Genomic DNA, 21782 nt, shown 5'->3' with positions numbered 1-21782 from the left:
TGATCGGCCTGCCTCTGCCTCCCAAAGTGCTGGGATTACAGGTGTGAGCCACTGTGCCTCAGGTCTTTGAAGACCCTCTCACCCTCCCCCGTTTTCATGCGGACTGAGTCCCCCCATGCCCCTCCCTCCTCCTGTGTGGGCAGCTGTCTCTTGCTAAATGGCTTTGGTTGCAGAGCTCATGTCGTGGCTCTCAAAAAGAAATGTGCGGGATGAATAAGCACCTAACAATAACCCAGAATCAGTTTTTTTGTGTGGTGGGGAGAGGGCTGTGTTTTCCTTTCTCTTCCCTCTTCTCCCTCACTCTGCCCCCAAGGCCAGTAAATTGCTGCTGGCTCACAGCCGGGCCAAGCTGGCTTCCTGTAAGCCGTGATAACATGGAATTAGCTTGGCTGCCACCCTCCCCAGGGCGGGGACACCAGCTCTGAGCCACTACAGGCGACTCTGAGCTGGTACTTCCTGCCCTCAGCCTGGTCCATGCTTCTGGGACACTGCTTTGGAGATAACTGGGCAGAGCCGGGTATGGTGGCTCACGCCTGTAATCCCAGCACCTTGGGAGGCCGAGGAGTTTGAAACCAGTCTGGCCAACATGGCGAAACCCCGTCTCTACTAAAAATACACAAATTAGATGGGCGTGGTGGTGTGCACCTGTAATTCCAGCAACTTGGGAGGCTAAAACAGGAAAATCCCTTGAACCCAGGAGGTAGAGGTTTCAATGAGCCAAGATCGCACCATTGCACTCCAGCCTGGGTGACAGAGGGAGACTCTGTCTCAAAAAAAAAAAAAAAAAGATAACTGGGCAGAGACACATCCCTGGACTTGTCCTCCAGCGGAGAAGCAGTGGAAAAACCTCTCCCCAGTACAAGGCTGGCAGCTCCTGAACTGGGCCATTAAGGGTGCTCCAAATTACCACTTACAGGGAGGAGCTGGCGGGCAGGGGCAGAGAGCTCTGGCAGCCTGGGGCACCCTTGAGGCGAGGTTTCCAGGCTGTTTGCTGACTCAGGGACTTGGCTGAGTGGCTCCCGTCTGTCCTGGTGCCTCTAAAAGGCCCTCTGACCCCTGCTGGCCTCCCGCAGCCTGCCTGGAGAGGCTTTAGAAATTCGGCAGATCTTTGCTTCCCAGAACCCGCCAGCTAATCATGAGATCCTAAGACCAAGCCAGGTGTTTTTCTTAGGGGGTCTATCTTGCAGAATGGTTAGGCTCTGGGGGTGCACCTGGCATCTCCATATAGCTCAGCCACGCTTGAAGTCACCCTTTCCCCTGTGATGTCAAATCTGTGGAAAGGGACCATGGACACCTGTGTTTAATATGGGGGGAACAGCAGTGTCAGGAGGAAAAACAGGTCTATTAATATCAGAGGCAAAGCGTTCAGAGGTCTCCGCCTATGCTGAACTTTTGGCCAAGGGATGGAAAATTCCAGGTGGGAGCTTGGAAATTCCCCGTGTAGGAGAAGCAGTAAGGGAAGTGCCACACTTCCTTGCTTCCTGCAGCCCTCAGCTTCAGCCAAGACCAGGCCGGGGGTTCCTGAGTCCTGGCTGTGGTTGTTCAGTTGTTCATAGTCTTGGCTACACATCACAGCCTCCTGGGGGAGGTTTAAAGTTCTGATGCCCAGGCTGATCCCAGACCCATTACATCAGAATCCCTGGGGCGGGGCCCAGGCTTCCCAGGTAATTGGAGTGTGCAGCTGGGGTGAAGAACCGCAGCTGGCAATAACAACCTCTGTTTTCCTCCACCCTCTGTCTGGCTCCTTTATTTTTGCCCTCTCAGATTCAGAGGTAGGTATGGCTGTGCATAGTGGGTGCTTGGAAAATAGTGTTCAGGGTCATTGCTGCTACTACTGCTAATAGTAATTTAGGTTCACTCAAAGGGCGAGGAGCATTGGAAAAGTGCTTTGCTATGATTTCATTTAAAAATGTTCCAGACCAGCTGCAGTGGCTCACGCCTGTAATCCCAGCACTTTGGGAGGCCAAGGCAGGCTGATCATCTGAGGTCGGGAGTTTGAGACTAGCCTGACCAACATGGAGAAACCCCGTCTCTACTAAAAATACAAAATTAGCTGGGTGTGGTGGCATATGCCTATAATCCCAGCTACTCGGGAGGATGAGGCAGGAGAATTGCTTGAACCCGGGAGGCGGAGTTTGCGGTGAGCCGGAATCATGCCATTGCACTCCAGCCTGGGTAACAAGAGCAAAACTCTGTCTTAAAAAAAAAAAAGTTCCTAGCCTGGACAACTCAGTGAGACCCCATCTCTAAGAAAAAAATAAAAAATAGCCAGTCATGGTGGCATGCACCTGTAGTCCCAGTGAGACCAGGTCTCACTATGTTGCCCAGACTGGCCTCAAACTCCTGAGCTCAAGCGATCCTCCCATCTTGGCCTCCTAAAGTGCTGGGATTACAGGCCTGAGTCACTGAACCTGACCCTGATTCCTCTTAATGTCCCCACTGCCTCCCATTCCCAGGGTCTGCTCTCTGGGCAGGGTGTCTCTGTGCCGCCTTCCTTCCCACAGCACGTCTCATGTCTCTCCTTGCCCCCTTCTTGAAGCCATGGCCCCAATTCAGGCTTCTGTCTTCCTGGCTCACCTCTGCAGCCCCTGACTTCCGGCAGCTTAGGGGGTCTATCATGCAGAATGGAAAGGTTCTGGGGGTGCACCTGGCATCCGCATATGGCTCAGCCGTGCTTGAAATCACCCTTTCCCCTGCGACGTCAAATCTGTGGAAAGGGACCATGGACACCTGTGTTTAATATCGGGGCAACAGCAGTGTCAGGAGGAAAAACAGATCTAGTAATATCAGGGGCAGAGTGTTCAGGGAGAACACTGAATCTACAGGGGCTTTGAGGCTTGATGCTCCTCCATGACCCTGCCCAGTGACTCCAACCAGACCCAGCTACTCCAACCAGCCTCATCTACTCCAACCAGCCCCAGCTACTCCAATCAGCCCCAACTACTCCGACGAGCCCCAGCTACTCCAACCAGCCCCAACTACTCCAACCAGCTTCAGCTACTCCAACTAGTCCCAGCTACTTCAACCACTCTCAGCTACTCCATCCAGCCCTCAGCTACTCCAACCAGCCTCAGCTACTCCAACCAGCCCCAGCTACCCCAGCCAGCCTCAGCTGGAGCTCCGAAAGCCAAGAAGTGCCCAGTGCTTTGCACCTGAGTCTGTCTTTGCCTGGCTGGCTAGCATACCCCTCCCTGCATAGCAGCCTGTGCTGTCTTTCTGTGGCCTACACAGGAGGGCCTAAGGGGTCTAGCTGGAACTCCCTGCCCAGCTGGAACTCCCTCACCCTCCCTGTGTATCTGCTCAGTGAGATGGCTCTGCTTCCAGCATAGAACTCACCTGGTTCACACCACGCCTCACACTTGGTCACACTGCCACTCGTGTTCAGTCCCACTGCCCCACCTCTTCAAGCACACTGCACCCATGATCTTCCCTTTCACAGCTCCGTCCACATGTGCAAGTGCATGGTGCCTCCCTAAATGGGGACAGAACTGGCTGGTCTGTCCAGGTCCCTGCAGACCAACCAGCTGCTGCCAGGGCCAGCAGGGCCTTGGAGCAGCCATGCACACCCTGACCCAGAGCATCATGGTGAATTGCCTGAGAGCTCCGGGAGAACTTTGGTTTCTCTTTATTTGAAACTATTGTCTGTCCACTCATTCCGCCTTTCATGTGTCCCTTCCTCTGAAGGGAAGCACACTTCTGAGATGGCTTAGCAGCAGCGAAAGTCCCAAAAGCAGCCACTGGTAAACAGGACTAGAACCAGACTCCTAGATTCACAGAGGATAAAACTGAGGCTGAGGCACATGGTTTGTGCACAGTTTTTTGTTTTGTTTCGTTTTGTTTTTTGAGATGGAGTCTCTCTCTGTCACCCAGGCTGGAGTGCAGTGGCACGATCTCTGCTCACTGCAACTTTTGCTTCCTGGGTTCAAGCGATTCTCCTGCCTCAGTCTCCCGTGTAGCTGGGATTACAGGCGCATGCCACCATGTCTGGCTAATTTTTTTTTTTTTTTTTTTTTTTTTTTTTTTTTTTTTGTATTTTTAGTAGAGATGGGGTTTCGCCATATTGGCCAGGCTGGTCTCAAACTCCTGACCTCAGGTGATCTGCTCGCCTCAGCCTCCCAAAGTGCTGGGATTACAGGCAAGAGCCACCACATCTGGCCATGTCCACGCACAGTTTTGTTGGTACCAGAGTGAGAGGGGTACTCGGAGCCTCTAAGCCCTCCCTCTTAGGAGGCCCTGGCCCTTTCCTAACCAGGAGGGTCCACTTCCAGGCACCTTATGTAGTGGGCTATGCTCCTGGGCCCTGTGGGATCTGCCGCCCTCTCCAGTCTGACATTGGTCCTGGAGGGGGCCTGATGATTGCAGAGCACTTGACCTTTCCTGGCTCTAAGTGGCACTGCAGGCCTCACCTCATCACTCATTTATGCTACAGCTCTCAGGGTTCCCCAGGGGCAGCTCCAACATCCCCAGCTGGTGTCCAGAGAGTGCCATGGGGCAGACATATCCCAGCAGATGGCCTCGCTCCTAAAAGGCTGCCAAATTGTCAACCAAAAGTGATCTCAGCCCTTGCTGTGCCAAGTGGACCCCTGGGGAAAGGGGGCCACGGATATGGGAGGAAGCAAGGAACAGGCAGGCGGATGACCGGTCGTGGTTACTCCCTGCAAGACCCCGGGCAAGCCACTAATGTCTCTCTATCTCAGTGTCCACATTGGTGAAGCTCGCTGGGAGCATCAGAGAGGACAGCACAGGCAGAATATCTGGCCATGCCCCCTGGCACGCTGCAGGTGAGTGCCTTGCACTTGTAGACCCTGTGGTCAGCAAAGCACTGCACAGCTGCTCATTAGATTTAATGACTGTGGCCAGGCGAGGTGGCTCACGCTCGTAATCCCAGCACTTTGGGAGGCCGAGATGAGTGGATCACCTGAGGTCAGGAGTTCGACGCCAGCCTGGTCAACATGGTGAAACCCCGTCTCTACTAAAAATACACACACACAAAATTAGCCGGGCGTGGTGGCGGGTGCCTGTAATCCCAGCTACTTGGGAGACTGAGGTGGGAGAATCGTTTGAACCCGGGAGGTGGAGGTTGCAGTGAGCTGAGATTGCACCACTGCACTCCAGCCTGGGTAACAGAGCGAGACTCTATCTCAAAAAAAAAAATTCATTTTAGATTCAGGGGGTACATGTGCAGGTTTGTTACATGGGTATATTGTGTGATGCTAAGGTTTGGGATTCTAATGATCCATCATCCGGATAGTGAGCACAGTACCCAATAGGTAGTTTTTCAACACTTGTCCCCTCCTCCCTTTTGGAGTCCCCAGTGTCTGTTGTTCCCATCTTTATGTCCACTTGCACCCAATGTTGAGCTCCCACTTATGAGGGAGAACATGCAGTATTTGGTTTTCTGTTTCTGTGTTAATTCACTTAGGATAATGGCCTTCAGCTGCATCCATGTTGCTGCAAAGGACACGATTTCATTCTTTTTTATGGCTGCATAATATTCCTTGTTGGATATGTACCACCTTTTCCTTATCTAACCCACTGTTGATGGGCACCTGGGTTGATGCCATGTCTTTACTATTGTGAATAGTGCTTTGATGAACATACGAGTGCAGGTGTCTTTTTGGCAGAATGATCTATTTTCCTTTGGGTAGCTACCCAGTAATGGAATTGCCAGGTCAAATGGTAGTTCTGTTTTTAGTTCTAAAAGAAACAATCCAGGCCGGGTGCAGTGGCTCACATCTGTAATTACAGCACTTTGGGAGGCCGAGGCAGGCAGATCACCTGAGGTCAGGAGTTTGAGACCAGCCTGGCCCACATGGTGAAACCCCGTCTCTACTAAAAATACACAAATTAGCTGGGTGTGGTGGTGCATGCCTATAATCCCAGCTACTCGGGAGGCTGAGGCAGGAGAATCGCTTGAACCCGGGAGTTGGAGGTTGCAGTGAGCCAAGATTGCACCATTGCACTCCAGCCTGGGGAACAAGAGTGAAACTTCGTCTCAAAAAATAATAATAAAATAAATTAAAAATAAAAAATAAAAGAAAATAAACAATCCTTGTAAAGTGCTTGTCATAGTGCCTGGTACTATGCTAAGAACGTGATCAATGTTATCTGTTATTATGATTCATAGCATGACACAGTGCCCCCTCTCCCACCAGCAACACCCACCTTCCTAGTTCCTGAGTGACGCTGCACCTTTCAGGTGTCCTGAACTAAGCCCTAGGTCTAGGAATTTGTGTGTTTCCTGAGGGTGTAATCATGCCCCCAGAAAGAGAGGCAGCAAAAGGCTTTTCTCATTTGAGTCAAAGTGAAGGTTCCTGGATTTGTTGAAAAAGTCCATCTCCTGTCCAAGGCAAGCCCGGTGAGAATGCTCTGTGCCAGAGCCACCAGGATCACAGCCTGGCTGGGATCTCCCTCACCCTGGCTAAGGCTTTGCTTGCAGGCGTTCCCATGGGGAGATGAGGAATCACTCAGCTAGTGTTGGTTGATGAATATCCTCCACAGCTCAGCTGGGCATGGTCAGTGACTCTAGCTCCTCCCCCGCACCATAAAACCTACGTATTTGCTGTCATTTTAATGACAATGACTACTGTTATCCTGGCTTTTTATTCTTTTTTTTCTTACGTTTAATCTTTTAAAAAATTATCTTAGCCAGGGCCAGTGTCTCACACCTGTAATCCCAGCACTTTGGGAGGCTGAGGCAGGCGGATCACCTGAGGTCAGGTGTTCAAGACCAGCCTGGCCAACATGGTGAAGCCCCATCTCTACTAAAAATACAAAAGTTTGCCGAGCGTGGTGGTGCATACCTGTAATCCGAGCTACTTGGGAAGCTGAGGCAGGAGAATCGCTTGAACCTGGGAGGCGGAGGTTGCAGTGAGCTGAGACTGTGCCATTGCACTCCAGCCTGGGCAACAAGAGTGAAATTCCATCTCAAAAACAAAACAAAACAAAATTATCCAGAAGCTTCCAAGAGCTAGCCACCAAGTAAGCTGAGAGACAGGTGTGTGGAGCCAAGAGCCAGCCACCCACTGTGCTGGGTGCTTTAATTCTTACATTGACCCTGGGAGGAATAATGTTTATTAGCCTGTTTTTCAGGTAAGGAAACTGAAATTCAGAGAGGTTAAGGAACTTGCTCATATCTAGAAAGAAATGGAGCCAGAATTCAACTTGAGATCTGTCTACCTCCAGGGCCTACCCATACTTTCTTATTTCTGTTTTGGTTTTGTTTGTTTGTTTGTTTGTTTGAGACAGAGTCTTACTTTGTTACCCAGGCTGGAGTGCAGCAGCGGGATCTTGGCTCACTGCAACCTCCGCCTCCCAGGGCCAAGTGATTCTCCTGTCTCAACCTCTCGAGTAGCTGAGATTACAGGTGCCTGCCACCATGCCCAGCTAATTTTTGTATTTTTAGTAGAGACAGGGTTTCACCATGCTGGCCAGGCTAGTTTTGAACTCCTGACCTCAAGTGGTCCACCCACCTGGGCCTCCCAAAGTTCTGGGATTATAGGTGTGAGCCACCGCGCCCAGCCATACCCTATTATTTCTTTTAATAGCCATCTCTATTATGCAGGTAATAACATTTCATTACATTCTCCTTATAAAAATTAAAACACTGTAGGCAAAGTTACAGAACCTTTGGACTAACCCTTCCCATCCCACTGCCCTTCCCAGGTCTCATCCATGCACTCTTCCACAATACCTGCAAAATACGCATTGTAATAATAATACCCATTCTACGCCTTTCCTGACTTAAAAAAATTCTTTTAATTTAAATGGAAATAGAGATGGGGTCTCACTATGTTGCCTAGGCTGGTCTCGAACTCCTGGGCTCAAGCAGTCCTCCTGCCTTGGCCTCCTAAAGTGCTGGGATTACAGGCATGAGCCACCACAACTGGCCCCTTTCCTGACTTTTTAAGGGTGAAATGAAATAATGAGTAAAAATACCTTTTGTAAACGTTACAGCCCTCTGTAGACGCCTACTGCTAGCATTAGCATAGTAACATATGTTACTTAAGGCCCTTTCATAAGCAATATTTTTTATCTTAAATATCATTACTGGGAATTAATGGACTTCTATGCCTCTAAAGGAGGCTATAAAGCCTTGCCAGAGTCTGGCAGTGAAAACCTCAGTGTGGTCTTTAGGGCTAGGCTGCAGAATCTCGACTCACCAGTAGGTGTCAGCCTCTACCAAGACACGCCCACCTCACCTTCTGTACGAATTACGTCAAGGAACTGAGAGCCTTCTAGGCCTGTTGTGTGCTTTTCAGTGGATGTTAAACGTGGAGTGCTGTGGGGTTGGAATTCCGGCTGGAAGTAAGGGCCAGGGCACTCAAGATGCAAAGACCAGTGAGGCCAACTTTGGCCTGAGTTTGCTCACAGGTGAGCCAGGTAGTCCTGGGCTCAGACCCTCCCATCCTAGGGAAATGCAGGCTGTGCTCAAGGCTGTCCATTGTGGGAAGGGACTCCCAAGGGACTGGCTGTGTCCGATGGGTCAGGGAAGGTAACATTTGAGGTCAGTCCTGAAGGATGAGAAAGACACTTCTAAGCTCAGGAAGAGGGAAGGACCTTCCAGGAGCATCCTGGGCACAGATGAGCAGTTTGATGGATGGGCAGGGTGGGAGGATGAGAGAGGATAGACAAGAATGGGGGCAGATATGTCTATAGCATTGAGAACCAAATAAACCATAGAAGGGTTTTGTTTTGTTTTGTTTTGAGACAGAGTCTCACTCTGTGGCCCAAGCTGGAGTGCAGTGGTGCGATCTCAGCTCACTGCAACCTCTGTCTCTCGTGTTCAAGTGATTCTCCTGCCTCAACCTCCTGACTAGATGGGATTACAGGCATGCGCCACCACTCCCAGATATTTTTGTATTTTTAGTAGAGACGGTTTCACCATGTTGGCCAAGCTGGTCTTGAACTCCTGACCTCAGGTGATCCTCCCGCCTCAGCCTCCCAAAGTGCTGGGATTACAGGTGTGAACCGTCGTACCCAACCAGAAGGGTTTTTTGTTTTGTTTTGAAGACAGGGTCTCACTCTGTTACCCAGGCTGGTCTAGAATCCTGGCCTCAAGCAATCCTCCCACCTCAGCCTCCCAAAGTGCTGAGATTACAGGCATGAGCCACTGCACCCGGCCTGTTGTTTTTTTCTTTTTTTCTATTTGGGATGGGCTGGCCAGTAGGGAGTCACAATTAGATGTGTATAGGATGAATTGGACAGGAAGAGACTGAAGGCAGAGGCTGTTGTCGAAAGTCTTATCCAGGGAAGGAATAGTCAATAAGACATAGATTGGAAGCTACTTGCAAGAAAGAATCGCAGGGATGTGGGACCTGATTAGATGGAGTGGGAGCGGGGATTGTTGCTGGAGGAATTAAGGCTGCCTTTGAAGTTTCCAGCTTAACCAGCTCAGTGGAGGTAGAACCATTAGTTGAGCCAGAAAACAGGAGGAAGAACAGATTGTGAATGTAGAAAAACAGTCAGGCACAGTGGCTCACGCCTGTAATCCCAGCACTTTGGGAGGCTGAGGTCGGGAGTTCGAGATCAGCCTGACCAACATGGAGAAACCCCGTCTCTACTATAAATACAAAATTAGCCGGGGCTGGGCATGGTGGCACATGCCTGTAATCCCAACTACTCAGGAGGCTGAGGCAGGCGAATTTCTTGAACCCAGGAGGCAGAGGTTGTGGTGAGCTGAGATTGCACCATTGCACTCCAGCCTGGGCAACAAGTGTGAGACTTTGTCTCAAAGAAAAAAAAAAAGCAAACAAGGAGCAAATAAAAAAGAAAGAAAAAGAAAACCAAAAAAGAAAAAACAAATAAAATAGAGGGAAGACTGAGCATGGTGGCTCACACCTGTAATCCCAGCACTTTGGGAGGCTGAGACAGGTGGATTGCTTGAGTCCAGGAGTTCTCAAACTCCTGAAGGGACCAGCCTGTACAACATAGCAAGACCCTAGTCTCACTCTGCCACCCAGGCTGGAGTGCAGTGGTGTGATCTTGGCCCTCTGCAACCTCTGCCTCCCATGCTCAAGCGATTCTCCTGCCTCACCCTATCGAGTGGCTGGGATTGCAGGTGTGCGCCATCATGACCAGCTAATTTTTGTATTTTTAGTAGAGACGGGGTTTCGCCATGTTGCCCAGCTGGTCTCAAACTCCTGGCCTCAAGTGATCCACCTGCCTCAGCCTCCCAAAGTGCTGGGATTAGAGGCGTGAACCACCAAGCCCAAGATATTATTTCTTATATCTTGATGTTCTCACATACCCCTAGGAGGCAGGCAGATAGAGTCCCAATTTCATCGATAAGAACTCAGCTTTGACAGGAAGGGGCTGTGATAGGGCAAGCCCAGCAGGTCCTGGGGCCATGATAGGAGATGCCTTCTCCTCAGGGCCCCTTCATGTGGGTCCCTTCATGTGGGTGCAGAGGTCGGCCTCGCAGCTGTTCTGGATCCCATCACCTGTTCATTATTTATTATTATTATTATTATTATTATTATTATTATTGAGATGGAGTCTCCTTCTGTCATCCAGGCTGGAGCACAGTGGTGTGATCTTGGCTCATTGCAACCTCTGCCTCCCAGGTTCAAGCGATTCTCCTGCCTCAGCCTCCCGAGTAGCTGGGATTATAGGCGCACACCACCCCACCCGGCTAATTTTTGTATTTTTAGTAGAGACGGGAGTTTCGTCATTTTGGCCAGGCTGGTCTTGAACTCCTGGCCTCAAGCAATCTGCCTGCCTCAGCCTCCCAAAGTGCTGGGATTACAGGCCTAAAGTGCTGGGATTACAGGCGTGAGCCCGCCGGGAGCCAGGCCCACCTGTTCATTATTTTAAAAGCCCTAACTTCATGGTTGCCCCGTGGCAGCATGGGAAGCCCTTCTGGGCTTGGGCTGGATGGTCCTTACTGAAGTCTGCCCTGCTCCCCAGTCCCTGCCGGGTGTGTGACCTGGGGCACCTCCCTCTCCCTCTCTGGATCTCAGTTTCCTCTCCGTATAAAGTGGGGTTGATCTAGGTGGACTCTCAGGTCCCTGCTGCATCCAAAACTTTACTGCCATCTGATTTTGGGGGGACAGACTGTGTTGAAACTATAGGCTTGAATGGCCAGGCTTTTTCCGGAGAACTTGCCCCAAAGGAGCATTTGCCAGGAGACCTTTTGAGGCCACCAGCTGTGTCTACTGCAGAGGGGAATGTCTGCCTTGCATTTCGGCATCGAATAAGGAAAGGGACATCGGGATTCTGGCTTGAGAGAAAGGAGCTCCCAGCTCAGGGCAGACATCATTTAGGAACCACGGAGCCAATTTCCCTCACTCCAGGAAGGGCTGGCTGTGGCTCACGTGGGAGGGGGACGCTCAGAGCCTTCCTGGGGATACCTGTTCCACTTCCTCCCAATTGCCCATCTGTTTGGAGACCCCAGTCTCATTCGGGAGGCCCCTCCAGATTAGCCGCAGGAGGCAAACAACTGGCCGTGAATTCCCCCTTTGTCCAGGGAAGCCAAGTGGGGAGGGGCCGAGCGGACCCCCTGCCCCCACTGGAATGTCGGCCTCCTGCGCCCCCCATCTGTCCCTCCTTTTTCACCACCTCCCCTGCTCACTTCCTGAGTCCCACTGATCCCACCACCAAAACACACGCATGCATGCACACGCACGCCTGCACACACACGCGGGCGCACACACACACACACACACACACACACACACGCTTCCTGGCGGGCCGGCGGCCTCTCGCTCCGGGATCGGCGATCCCCGCCACCGGGAACTCTGGGGAGAAGCCACCTTTTGTTATTCAAATCACATCCTCGCCGTGCGAGCCCGGGGGCCGCGGGATCTGGCCCGGGAACCCGCCTCCCGGTCTCCCCTCGCGCCCCCGCCAGCTGATTCCGGGATTTCCCGGTCCCCGGGGGCTCGGGCGCGCCGGTCTCTGCCGGCGGGGCCGCGCCTCCCCCGCCCCCGGCGCGCGCTGCGGCTCCGCGCCCGCCCCCCTCCCCCTCCCCCTCGCCGCCTCCCCTCCCCCTCCCCTTCCTTTCTCCGGTCCAGCCTTGGTGCCGCCGCCGCCGCCGCCGCCTGCCCCGGTCCGCGGGGGCCCTGCCGGCCGCCCTCCCCGCAGCATGGCACCCTCGGGGCGCGATTAGCCGGGAGCAGCTTTGGGGGAAGCGGGATCTCCAGGGGTGGGGGGGTGCCCCGCAGCCTCGGTCATGGATGTGAGCAAGATGGTAAGTGTGAGCAGGGGCTTTGCCCCGAGCCCCCTCCCCACACCCCCAGCCCTGGCGCCCTCCCTTCTCCCCCTCCTAGCCGGCGCGATCCATTGAAAGTTTCTGGATTGTTGATCCTGCCTGTTGGCCCCAACTCCAGGCGTGCCGGAGGAGGGAGCCGGGCCAGGATTCTGGAGGCGGCTGGCCGGCCGGGATGGGCTCTGGCTTTCCCGCCGCGCCGCCGCCGGGCTGCCCGGGAGATCGCGCTGGACTCCAGGGACTGGGCTGCGGGGCTCGCCGCCCACCTCGGGAGACCTGCCGGACGGGAGGGAGGGCAGCGCCGCCGGAAGGGGCTTGTACCGTGCCCTCCGGAGCCCCCTGCCCGCACACCTACAGGAGATCGATGGAAGATGTGTGGGGCTGAGCCCGTGGGCAGGGAGGCACAGGTGGCGCTGGGAGGACAGTGAGAAGCCAGGTTTCAACCATCCTAGGAGGTGAGGGGGCAGGAATGGAGCCCTTGGCAGAGACGGGGAAGGTTCTAGGTTGGCCACTTGGGAACCCCAGCTTCAGTGGGCCTGAGGTGCAGCCAACACCTTCGCCTCCTAAGCATGACTCCGCCTTTCCTTTAGAAATGGGCTCCTCTGGAGGGGTCTGTGCCCTCCCCCAGAGAAGCCCTCCACCCCCACCTCCACCGCGAATACAGTAGGATCTTGAAGAAATCATTGCTTATTGATTGAGACCAAGGAGCAGCCTTCAGCCGGTACCAGGATGTGATTTGGGGGATTCTGATGGGAGGGGGGTTCGCAGGGAGCACCTGGAGGCCCGGAAACTGCAGGTTTTCCCAGGGGTCTTGATTGGCTGTCACTCTGAATGGAGATTTAAGGGTGCCCTTGCCATCTCAATCACCCTGACCCCGAGTTTAGACCAGGGTACTGTCCCTACCGTCCAGCCTTGCAACCCTCAAGGGCCTGTGTGTCAGGCGGGTCTTGGGAGGGGGGAGGCAATCAGGGCTTTCGAGGAAAGGAGCTGTCGTGGGCTGTGTGTGTGTGTGTGTGTGTGTGTGTGTATGTGTGTGTGTGGGGGGGGGGGGGGGGTCTGGGTCTGCCCTTGCCATAGAGATGAGGAGGTACTAGAATTTGAGTTTATCTTGTTCAGAATTATATTACTTTTCCCCAGAGGGTGCCCTTTCGAGGCAACCAAGGGAGGTTGGTTCTCTGCCCGGCCCTGGCCTTTGGCACTCTGTCTTGGCTAGGAGACAATGGGATGGGGGCTGATGACAGGGGAGAGTCCTATTCTATGGCCTGCATCAGTCTCAGACTGACTGAGCATTGCCCCTGGGGTTGGGGGCTGCTTGAGGGGCTTCATGTCTTTATTTGGGTTCCTATCTTTATTTGGAGAGAAATACCTGTTCATGGTTGGGCAGTGAGTGCCCAGAGGTTGGACCAGCATTCCTTGTCTGTCTGCCATGAAATCTCGCTTTCTTTGGGCATGTATTAGAACTCCCTCTCAAAAAAAAAAAAAAAAAAAAAAAAAAATCCTCTCTGCAGCTATGGGGGTGGAGATGTAGAAAACTAAGCAGTAGTTCTTTCCTAGAGGTGTCTGAGCAAGACCAGAAGACTCATCTGTCTGGGCTATGATTAGGAGGTTGAGGGATCTGAAGCTTCGAAACTCTACTTTAGTCCAATGGCCACTAAACCGAATCACCCTTGAGCATCCTCCCAGCCCTGCACCCAGGTTCCCTGCAAAGCTTGGCCTGCAAGGACAAGCTTATAGGACTCAGGGACCTCTGTCCATCCATCCCTCATTAATCAACAGCATTTATTTAATTCTCATAATTTCTATAGCAAGTGCTGGGTAAAGAACACAAAGAAACATCATCGAAGGCCTCCCTCCCTGCTTCTCAAGGCCCTTAGCATGAAAGTGAAGGATCCAGAGAGATACAGGCCGACTCAACAGTTAGCTATCAATACAGGCCTGGATCAGAAGGCCAAAGCTTTGAGGACCATGGGGGTCTGAGAAGGGACTGGAGTGCAGAGTTCAGAAGGAAGACCAAGACCTCAGTTGGCCCTTGGAGGTTGGGTGGGGTAGGCATTGCCTGTTGGGAGAATCGCAGGAAGAGGATGGGCAGAGTCCATTGGGTGAGGCTGAAGACATTTGGCTGGTACAGAGGTTTGAAATCAGGAAACATCGAGATGGTTGTTTGGGGCCAGACCAGCAAGTCCCTGAATGCCAACCAAGGCATTCTGACCCTGGCCCGTAAGCACTGGGAAACCTCTGGAGAATTCTGAGCCCTGGGGAGGTGCATCTATTGCCTCTTTCCTCTTTTAGCTTGGGGTCCAAACAAAAGTGATATTAGATTCTCATTAATCATTGAGCAGCCAAGCGCCCAATCCAGAAACAATCGTCTGCAGCTCTTTGTAAAGAGCACAGACCTGTGCCTGTGTAGCAAGGAGAACCTTACCCACCCTGGGGAATTGGTGTCTGCTTTTCATTCCTGCAAGAGGCCAAAAGTACTTTCTGTTCTGGCCATTAAATTCCCATCTCTGGTTTGAAGTCCTCGCTCTGGGGGCCTTTGGCTGCAGGCTTGACCTCAAACGCAGCCTTTCAGGAACATCCTTGACAGAGTCCAATGTCAGCCTTGGAGGTTTCTCCTGCTTACGCAGAGTGAGGAAAAGCAGATTATAGTTTACCTGATTCTGCGTGATTTTTTTTTTTTTTTTTGAGACAGAGTCTCGCTGTGTCACTCAGGCTGGAGTGCAGTGGTGCAGTCTCGGCTCACTGCACCCTCTGCCTCGCGGGTTCAGGCGATTCTCGTGCCTCAGCTTCCCTAGTAGCTGGGACTACAGGCGCGCGCCCCCAGCACTACCATGCCCAGCTAATTTTTGTATTTTTAGTAGAGACAGAGTTTCACCATGTTGGCCAGGCTGGTCTCAAACTCCTGGGCCCAAGCAATCCACCCACCTCAGCCTCCCAAAGTGCTAGAATTACAGGCGTGAGCCACCACACCTGGCCTCTGCATGATTTTTTTTTTTTTTTTTTTTTTTTTTGAGACAGGGTCTTGTTCTGTTGCCCAGGCTGGAGTGCAGTGGCGCATTCTCAGCTCATTTGCAACGTCCGCCTTCCAGGTTCAAGTGATCCTCCCTACCTCAGCCTCCTGGGTAGCTGGGATTACAGGCGCACACCACTACACCCAGCTAATTTTTGTATTTTTTGCAGAGACGGAGTTTTGCCATGTTGCCCAGGCTGGTGTCGAACTCCTGGGCTCAAGCAATCTACCCACCTAAGCCTCCCAAACTGCTGGGATTATAGGTGTGAGCCACTGTACATTGCGTCCCTGCATGATTTTTAGCAAGTTTCTTCTGTAACCTCTTACCCTCATCTGTATCATGAACATAATAATAGAGAAGGTTGGAAATAATCCTTTTAAGGCATAGAAGCTGGAGTAGTAAATCTTCCACACACTAGTGGCTGTTCTTTTTTTTTTTTTTTTTTTTGAGATGGAGTCTCTCTCTGTCACCCAGGCTGGAGTGCAGTGGCACGATCTCGGCTCACCACCGCCTCCGCCTCCTGGGTTCAAGCGATTCTCCTGCCTTAGCCTCCCGAGTAGCTGGGATTACAGGCGCCCGCCACCATGCCCGACTAATTTGGCTGTTCTGATAATGATCTCTCGTCTCATCTGGGCCTAAGGTGACTCTTGATTTCCCTCTCATGCTTTACTTTTTTGATTGGCCTGCAGAGCTGAGCACAGGCTGTATTTCAGTTGACAGCTCTTGGGGCTAATTCTCCCAGGCCTGGTGATTTTTGTGAATGAGGGTACACACGACTGGAGACAGTGGATTTACCAGCTGCTGCGACCCATGAATTTTTGATGACATCAGATATCTGCCCAAGGGAGAGCTGGTTTAACCCTGCACTCAGGGATAAAGTGCAGATACCTTTTAGGGGTTGATGATGGAGGGTGTGCCTTTCACTAAACACACAGAGTACACAGTACTGTAATTTGGGAAATAGAGTCAACGCTATCAATTATTACCAAAGAACATAATGTTTACATAACAATTTATATTTGTGTGGTGCTTTACAGTATACAAGGCATTTTGTTTCCTTTTTTTTTTTTTTTTTTTTTTTTTCAGAGATAGTGTCTCACTCTGTCACCTAGCCTGGAGTGCAGTGGCACAATTGTAGCTGACTCTAGCCTCGAACTCCTGGGCTGAAGCTATTGTCTCGCCTCTGCCTCCTGAGTAGCTAGGACCACAGACATGAGCCACCAAGCGAGGCTAATTTTTATTTTATTTATTTATTTACTTTTGTAGAGACGGGGGTCTTCTATGTTGCCCAGGCTGGTTTTGAACTCCTGGCCTCAAGTGATCCTCCTGCCTCAGCATCCCAAAGTGCTGAGATTACAGGCATGAGCCACCACACCTGGCCTATATAAAAGCATTTTCACACTTGTTCTCACTGCAACCCCATGAGGAAGGCAGGGCAGAAGTGATTAGCCACGTTTTACAGAAAATTAGTTCAGAAAAGTGACATCTGATATTCCATACCGGGGTTAGAACCAGGTCTTGTATCCAGTTCTCTGACAGTCAAAGTATGCGCTATAGCGATATAATAAATAAAAGGTAATGAAAAAGATTTAGTGACTAGATTCTAGAATGGACACAAGTTAATTTCAAAAGATGAGCTGGGGGTCGTGGCCTTTGGCCTCTGGGTTCCTAGGGGAGAAGACTTAGGAAAGAAGGATGAGTGTCTATATGTGGACTCTGAGCCTCGTAAATCCCCTCTATCTGTTTTTGTTGGTTTTTTTTTTTAGAGACAAGGTCTCACTCTGTTGTCAAGGCTGGGGTGCAGTGGTGCGATCACAGCTCACTGCAGCCTCGAACTCCTAGGCTCAAGCAATCCTCCCATCTCGGCCTCCCAAGTAGCTGGGACAACAGGCAGGCACCACCACCATGTTTGACTGCCTTTTTTTATTTTTGGTAGAGACGAGGTTTTGATATGTTGCCCAGTATGGTCTAGAACTCCTGGGCTCAAGCGATTCTCCCACCTCAGCCTCCCAAATTGCTGGGATTACAGGTGTGAGCCACTGTGCCCTGCTCCCTATAGCCCTATAGCTGTTTTTAAAATTCAGGAGTTTCTTCCTGAATCTCACTGCTTCCTCAAATTTGAGACACCTGACTTACCCAGCAGGCCGATGAGAGGGGTGGAAAGAAGGTATTTCAGATGTTCTGAGTAAATGATATTGATGGCAGAGCGGAAAAGACTTCTGGTCAACCTGTTGTTGCTGCTGGTATCACATGTATTTGCTGGGTTGGAGGAGGGATGTGGTAGAAGTTAAATGCCCAACTGGAGAGATCGCTGTGCAAAATGATGCCAAGGACTGATGGGTGACCTGCCCAGCAAACAGAGCAGCGTTTTCAGCCCTGGGCCACAAAATCCATTTAGTGGGTTTCAGCCAGCATATGAAAGAGTGAAATAGGCCAGGTGCGCGGTGGCTCACGCTTGTAATCCCAGCACTTTGAGAGGCCAAGGCGGGAGGATCAACTAAGGTCAGGAGTTAGAGACCAGTCTGGCTAACATGGTGAAACCCATCTCTACTAAAAATACAAAAATTAGCCAGGTGAGGCAGCACACGCCTGTAATCCCAGCTGCTCGGGAGGCTGAGGCAGGAGAATTGCTTGAACCCGGGAAGCAGAGGTTGCAGTAAGCTGAGATCGCACCACTGCACTCCAGCCTGGGCAACAGAGCAAGAGACCATCTCAAAAAAATAAAAACACGAGTGAAATAGATGAGAAAACATCCAGGTATATTCCATGTGAGAGGGTAAGCATTAGATCATGAAACTGATTTTGGTTGTATCTTATGCATGCACATGAGTAAGTACTGGGTGGCCCTGTAAAATGTATTTTTTTTTTCTTCAACTTTTAAGTTCAGGGGTACATGTGCAGGTCTGTGACATAGGTAAACACGTGCCATGCTGGTTTGCTGCACAGATCAACCCATCACCTACGTGTTAAGCCCAACATCCATTAGATATTCCTCCTGATGCTCTCCCTCCCCACCCTCTGACAGACCCCAGTGTGCATTATTCCCTGCCACGTGTCCATGTGTTCTCATCACTCAGGTCCTACTTATAAGTGAGAACATGCGGTGTTTCGTTTTCTGTTCCTGTGTCATTTTGCTGAGGATAACAGCTTCCAGCTCCATCCATGTCCCTGCAAAGGACATAATCTTGTTCCTTTTTATGGCTGCAGAGTATTCCATGGTGTATGTGTACCACAGTAAAATGTGTTTTTTACTACGGTCAGTTGCATAGTCCATTTGCGCTGCTTTAACAATATCTGAGACCTGGTAATTTGTAAAGAATGGAAATTGGCCAGGCACAGTGGCTCACACCTGTAATCCCAGCACTTTGGGAGGTTGAGGCAGGAGGATCGCTTGAGCCTAAGAGTTTGAGACCAGCCTGGGCAACATAGTGAGACCCTGTCTCTACAAAAAAAAAAAAAAAAAGAAAAAATTAGCCAGGCATGGTGGTGTGCGCCTGTAATCTCAGCTACTCGGGAGGCTGAGCCCAAAAGGTCAGGGCTGCCGTGAGCTATGATAACACCACTGCACTCCAGCCTGGGTGGCAGAGTGAGACCTTTTCTCTAAAAAAAATTGCTTAGGAGAAAAGAATTTTTGGTTTACCATTTGTGGATTACTATCTTTCATCGTCACTGATCACTAAGATTTTATCTCACCAAGATGAGGTTCCATTCAATTCACTCACATACTGAATACCCCCTTTTTACGTAGGCCCCTGGGTGAGGACGTTAAGATATGAAAGGATCCAGGGCTGAGGATGGCTGAGTCCTTGTCTGTCGAAAAGGCTTACAGAGTTGAAAGAGAGATTTCCTTGAAATGCACCAAGGGCGACCACGCATCAATAGACATTTGCAATTGACAGAACAATCTCACCTGGATTATTTTCTTCCTCACAGCGGCCTTGTGAAGCAGGATTTAGTGTCCTACGAGCACCTGTCTTCGGAGGCCCCTCCGAGTTGCACTTCTGGTCAGGGGCTAAGTCCAGATGCAAACATGGGTTTTAAGACAGCCCCTCCCACAGTGCTTTTCTGCCCCCATCACACTATCTCTCCCTCCCACTTCCCCATTTCCTGCCGTCTTTCCCCTACTCCAATCTCCCCCACAACACACGCGCAGCTGGGTGAGTTTCTTGAAGCTCAAGTCCAAGTGCTGTTTCCCCTCCACCTTTGTCTCCCTTCTTGCCCAGAGAGGTCCCAGTTCAAACCCAGGACAGGCACGTAGTCTCACACCTGCCCCTGAGCCAAAGGTTTCCATAATCGGAGAAGATTCCCCCTGCTCCGGAGCCCCAAATAAATTAATCCATGGGTCATTCAAGAAAAAATAAATAAATTCCCCATGTGTCCTTTAGATTCCCTAAAGTCCTAATGCATCTTTAATTTGGAGGAGGTTCCTGTGGGCAGGTAGAGAGGGGTCAGGGTGGGAGGCATATTTGTAAATGGGAATGGTTGAGTGAGTGGGATCCCAGCCAGACTCCACAGCCCTGTCCCCTGTGCACAGAGGATTAAGGGAGGCTCGTCTGCATCCTGAGGCTGCTCCAGATGCTGAGCCTGGGCTTTGGAATCACAGAGGCTAAGGTCCCGTTGCTACCACTTGCCGACTCTCAGATCGTAGACAAGTTAGTTGATCTCCTCATACTGTTTCCTCGCTTCTAAGGCAGGTTGGTGTCTGCAGACTTGCAGCACTGTCAAGATGCTCACTTAAAGTACTTGACACAAGCCAGGCATGGTGGCTTATGCCTGTAATCCCAGTGCTTTGGGAGGCTAAGGCGGGAGGATCACTTGAGCCCAGGAGTTCAAGACCAGCCTGGGAAAAATAGCAAGATCCTATCTCTACTAAAAAAAAAAAAATTTAAAAAACAAATTATCTGGGTTTGGTCGCATGAGCCTGTGGTCTCAGCTACTAGGGATCCTCCCAGCTGAGGCAGGTGGATCACTTGAGCCCAAGAGTTCAAGGCTGCAGTGAGATGTGATTGCACCACTGCACTCCAGCCTGGGTGACAGAGCAGGACCCTGTCTAAAAAAATAAGATAAAATACAAAATACAGTACTTGGCACATAGGAGGGGCTTAGTAAACCATGGCTATCATTAGAAATATGTTTGCTCTTTCATTTAGGCTACAAATAAAATCTGAAAACTTCAGGGAAAGAGGGGAGCATTGCTTCTTGCAGAATGATCACTGCTGGGTGAGCTCAGTCTGCCGGGGCAATCAGACCTGTTAGTAGTTGCAATACATGTGGTGCAATGCACAAAGGATGGGGCATGTGTCAGCCTGGAGAAGGTGGGGTTAACCAGCCGGCAACTTAAGGAAGGGTATCATTAAGAAAACTGGGGACAGAGGGGAAGAAGATCCCCTGGAAGGAGGAAAATAAGGGTATTTCAGGCACGCTAAAAGGGTAAGGTCATGAAACCACAGGATTTGTTCAGAAACTACCTCTGGTCGATGCTTGAAAAGTAGGCACACTCCCTATCTCTGTGGGCTAACAAAGTTTCCAGGATACAGAACACAAATCTTTTTTTTTTTTTTTTTTTGAGGTGGATCTCGGTCTATCCTCCATGCTGGAGTGCAGTGGTGTAGTCACAGCTCACTGCAGCCTCAAACCTCTCAGGCTCAAGTGATTCTCCCACCTCAGCCTCCCGAGTAGTTGGGACTACAGGTGCACACCACCATACCTGGCTGATTTTTGTATGTTTTGTAGAGACGGAGTTTCACCTTGTTGCCTAGGCTTGTCTTGAATCCCTGAGCTCAAGAGATATGCCCGCCTTGGTCTCCCAAAGTGCTGAGATTATAGGCATGAGCCACTGTGCTGGCTTTTTTTCCTTTTCAGAGAGAAGGTCTCACTCTATCCCTGAGGCTGGAATGCAGTGGTGCAATTCCAGTTCCAGTTCACTGCAGCCTCAACCTCCCAGGCTCAGGTGATCCTCCCACCTCAGCCTCCCAAGTAGCTGGGACTACAGGTGCATGCCACCATGCCCAGCAATTTTTAACTTTTTTGCAGAGACAGGATTTTGCTATGTTTCCCTGGCTGGTTTTGAACTGCTGGCCTCAAGCAATACTCCTGCCTCGGCCTCCCAACTTGGCCTCCCAAAGCTGAATCTTTTTACACCTCAGTGATACCTGGAAGAGCTGTGCTTTAAGAAGGGGAGCAGGCCGGGCGCAGTGGCTCACACCTATAATTCCAGCAATTTGGGAGGCCGAGGCGGGAGGATCACCTGAGGTCGGGAGTTTGAGACCATCCTGACCAACATGGAGAAAACCCGTCTCTACTAAAAATACAAAATTAGCTGGGCGTGGTGGCTCACGCCTGTAATCCCAGCTATTCAGGAGGCTGAGGCACGAGAATCGCCTGAACCTGGGAGGCGGAGGTTGCAGTGAGCCAAGATTGCAGCACTGCACTGCAGCCTGGGCGACAGAGCAAGACTCCATCTCAAAAAAAAAAAAAAGAAAAGCGGGGGAGCCGCAATTGAAGGAAATACAGGATGCACAATGGGTGCTGAATGCATGAATGATTAAAAGACAAAAGAAGACATT

At 51.1% G+C, this 21782-nt stretch overlaps 1 protein-coding gene across 5 annotated transcripts in view, besides 4 other annotated features; it reads left to right on the top strand.

Moving 5' to 3' along the window:
* The window catches only part of HIP1 (huntingtin interacting protein 1), a 205644-nt gene that overhangs the window by 87701 nt on the left and 96161 nt on the right, over positions 1–21782 (top strand). For 2 of the 5 annotated variants that reach the window (XM_047420295.1, NM_001382444.1), the window contains exon 1: positions 11999–12190. The exons of the other annotated variants lie outside the window; for them this stretch is intronic. In XM_047420295.1, the coding sequence (XP_047276251.1) occupies positions 12173–12190 (18 nt within the window). In that variant the 5' untranslated portion in view covers positions 11999–12172. Of the gene's footprint in view, positions 1–11998; positions 12191–21782 lie in introns of those variants that run through there. 5 annotated transcript variants of the gene reach the window in all.
* Positions 10176–10929: an enhancer, noted in NCBI's record as "NANOG-H3K27ac-H3K4me1 hESC enhancer chr7:75269630-75270383 (GRCh37/hg19 assembly coordinates)". NCBI's record gives its function as "activates a minimal SCP1, AML or CMV promoter by ChIP-STARR-seq in primed H9 embryonic stem cells {active_cell/tissue: H9 hESC(primed)}" and the evidence as "EXISTENCE:reporter gene assay evidence [ECO:0000049][PMID:30033119]".
* Positions 10930–11684: an enhancer, noted in NCBI's record as "NANOG-H3K27ac-H3K4me1 hESC enhancer chr7:75268875-75269629 (GRCh37/hg19 assembly coordinates)". NCBI's record gives its function as "activates a minimal SCP1, AML or CMV promoter by ChIP-STARR-seq in naive and primed H9 embryonic stem cells {active_cell/tissue: H9 hESC(naive and primed)}" and the evidence as "EXISTENCE:reporter gene assay evidence [ECO:0000049][PMID:30033119]".
* Positions 11774–11873: a silencer, noted in NCBI's record as "silent region_18298". NCBI's record gives its function as "represses an Ori minimal core promoter by ATAC-STARR-seq in GM12878 lymphoblastoid cells {active_cell/tissue: GM12878}" and the evidence as "EXISTENCE:reporter gene assay evidence [ECO:0000049][PMID:35858748]".
* Positions 19597–20097: an enhancer, noted in NCBI's record as "H3K27ac hESC enhancer chr7:75260462-75260962 (GRCh37/hg19 assembly coordinates)". NCBI's record gives its function as "activates a minimal SCP1, AML or CMV promoter by ChIP-STARR-seq in primed H9 embryonic stem cells {active_cell/tissue: H9 hESC(primed)}" and the evidence as "EXISTENCE:reporter gene assay evidence [ECO:0000049][PMID:30033119]".

Source organism: Homo sapiens, chromosome 7 (assembly GCF_000001405.40).
Source record: "Homo sapiens chromosome 7, GRCh38.p14 Primary Assembly".
In the NCBI taxonomy this organism is placed as follows: domain Eukaryota; kingdom Metazoa; phylum Chordata; class Mammalia; order Primates; family Hominidae; genus Homo; species Homo sapiens.
The sequence above is the reverse complement of the archived record's forward strand: the minus strand, read 5'-3'. Positions and strand labels throughout refer to the sequence as shown.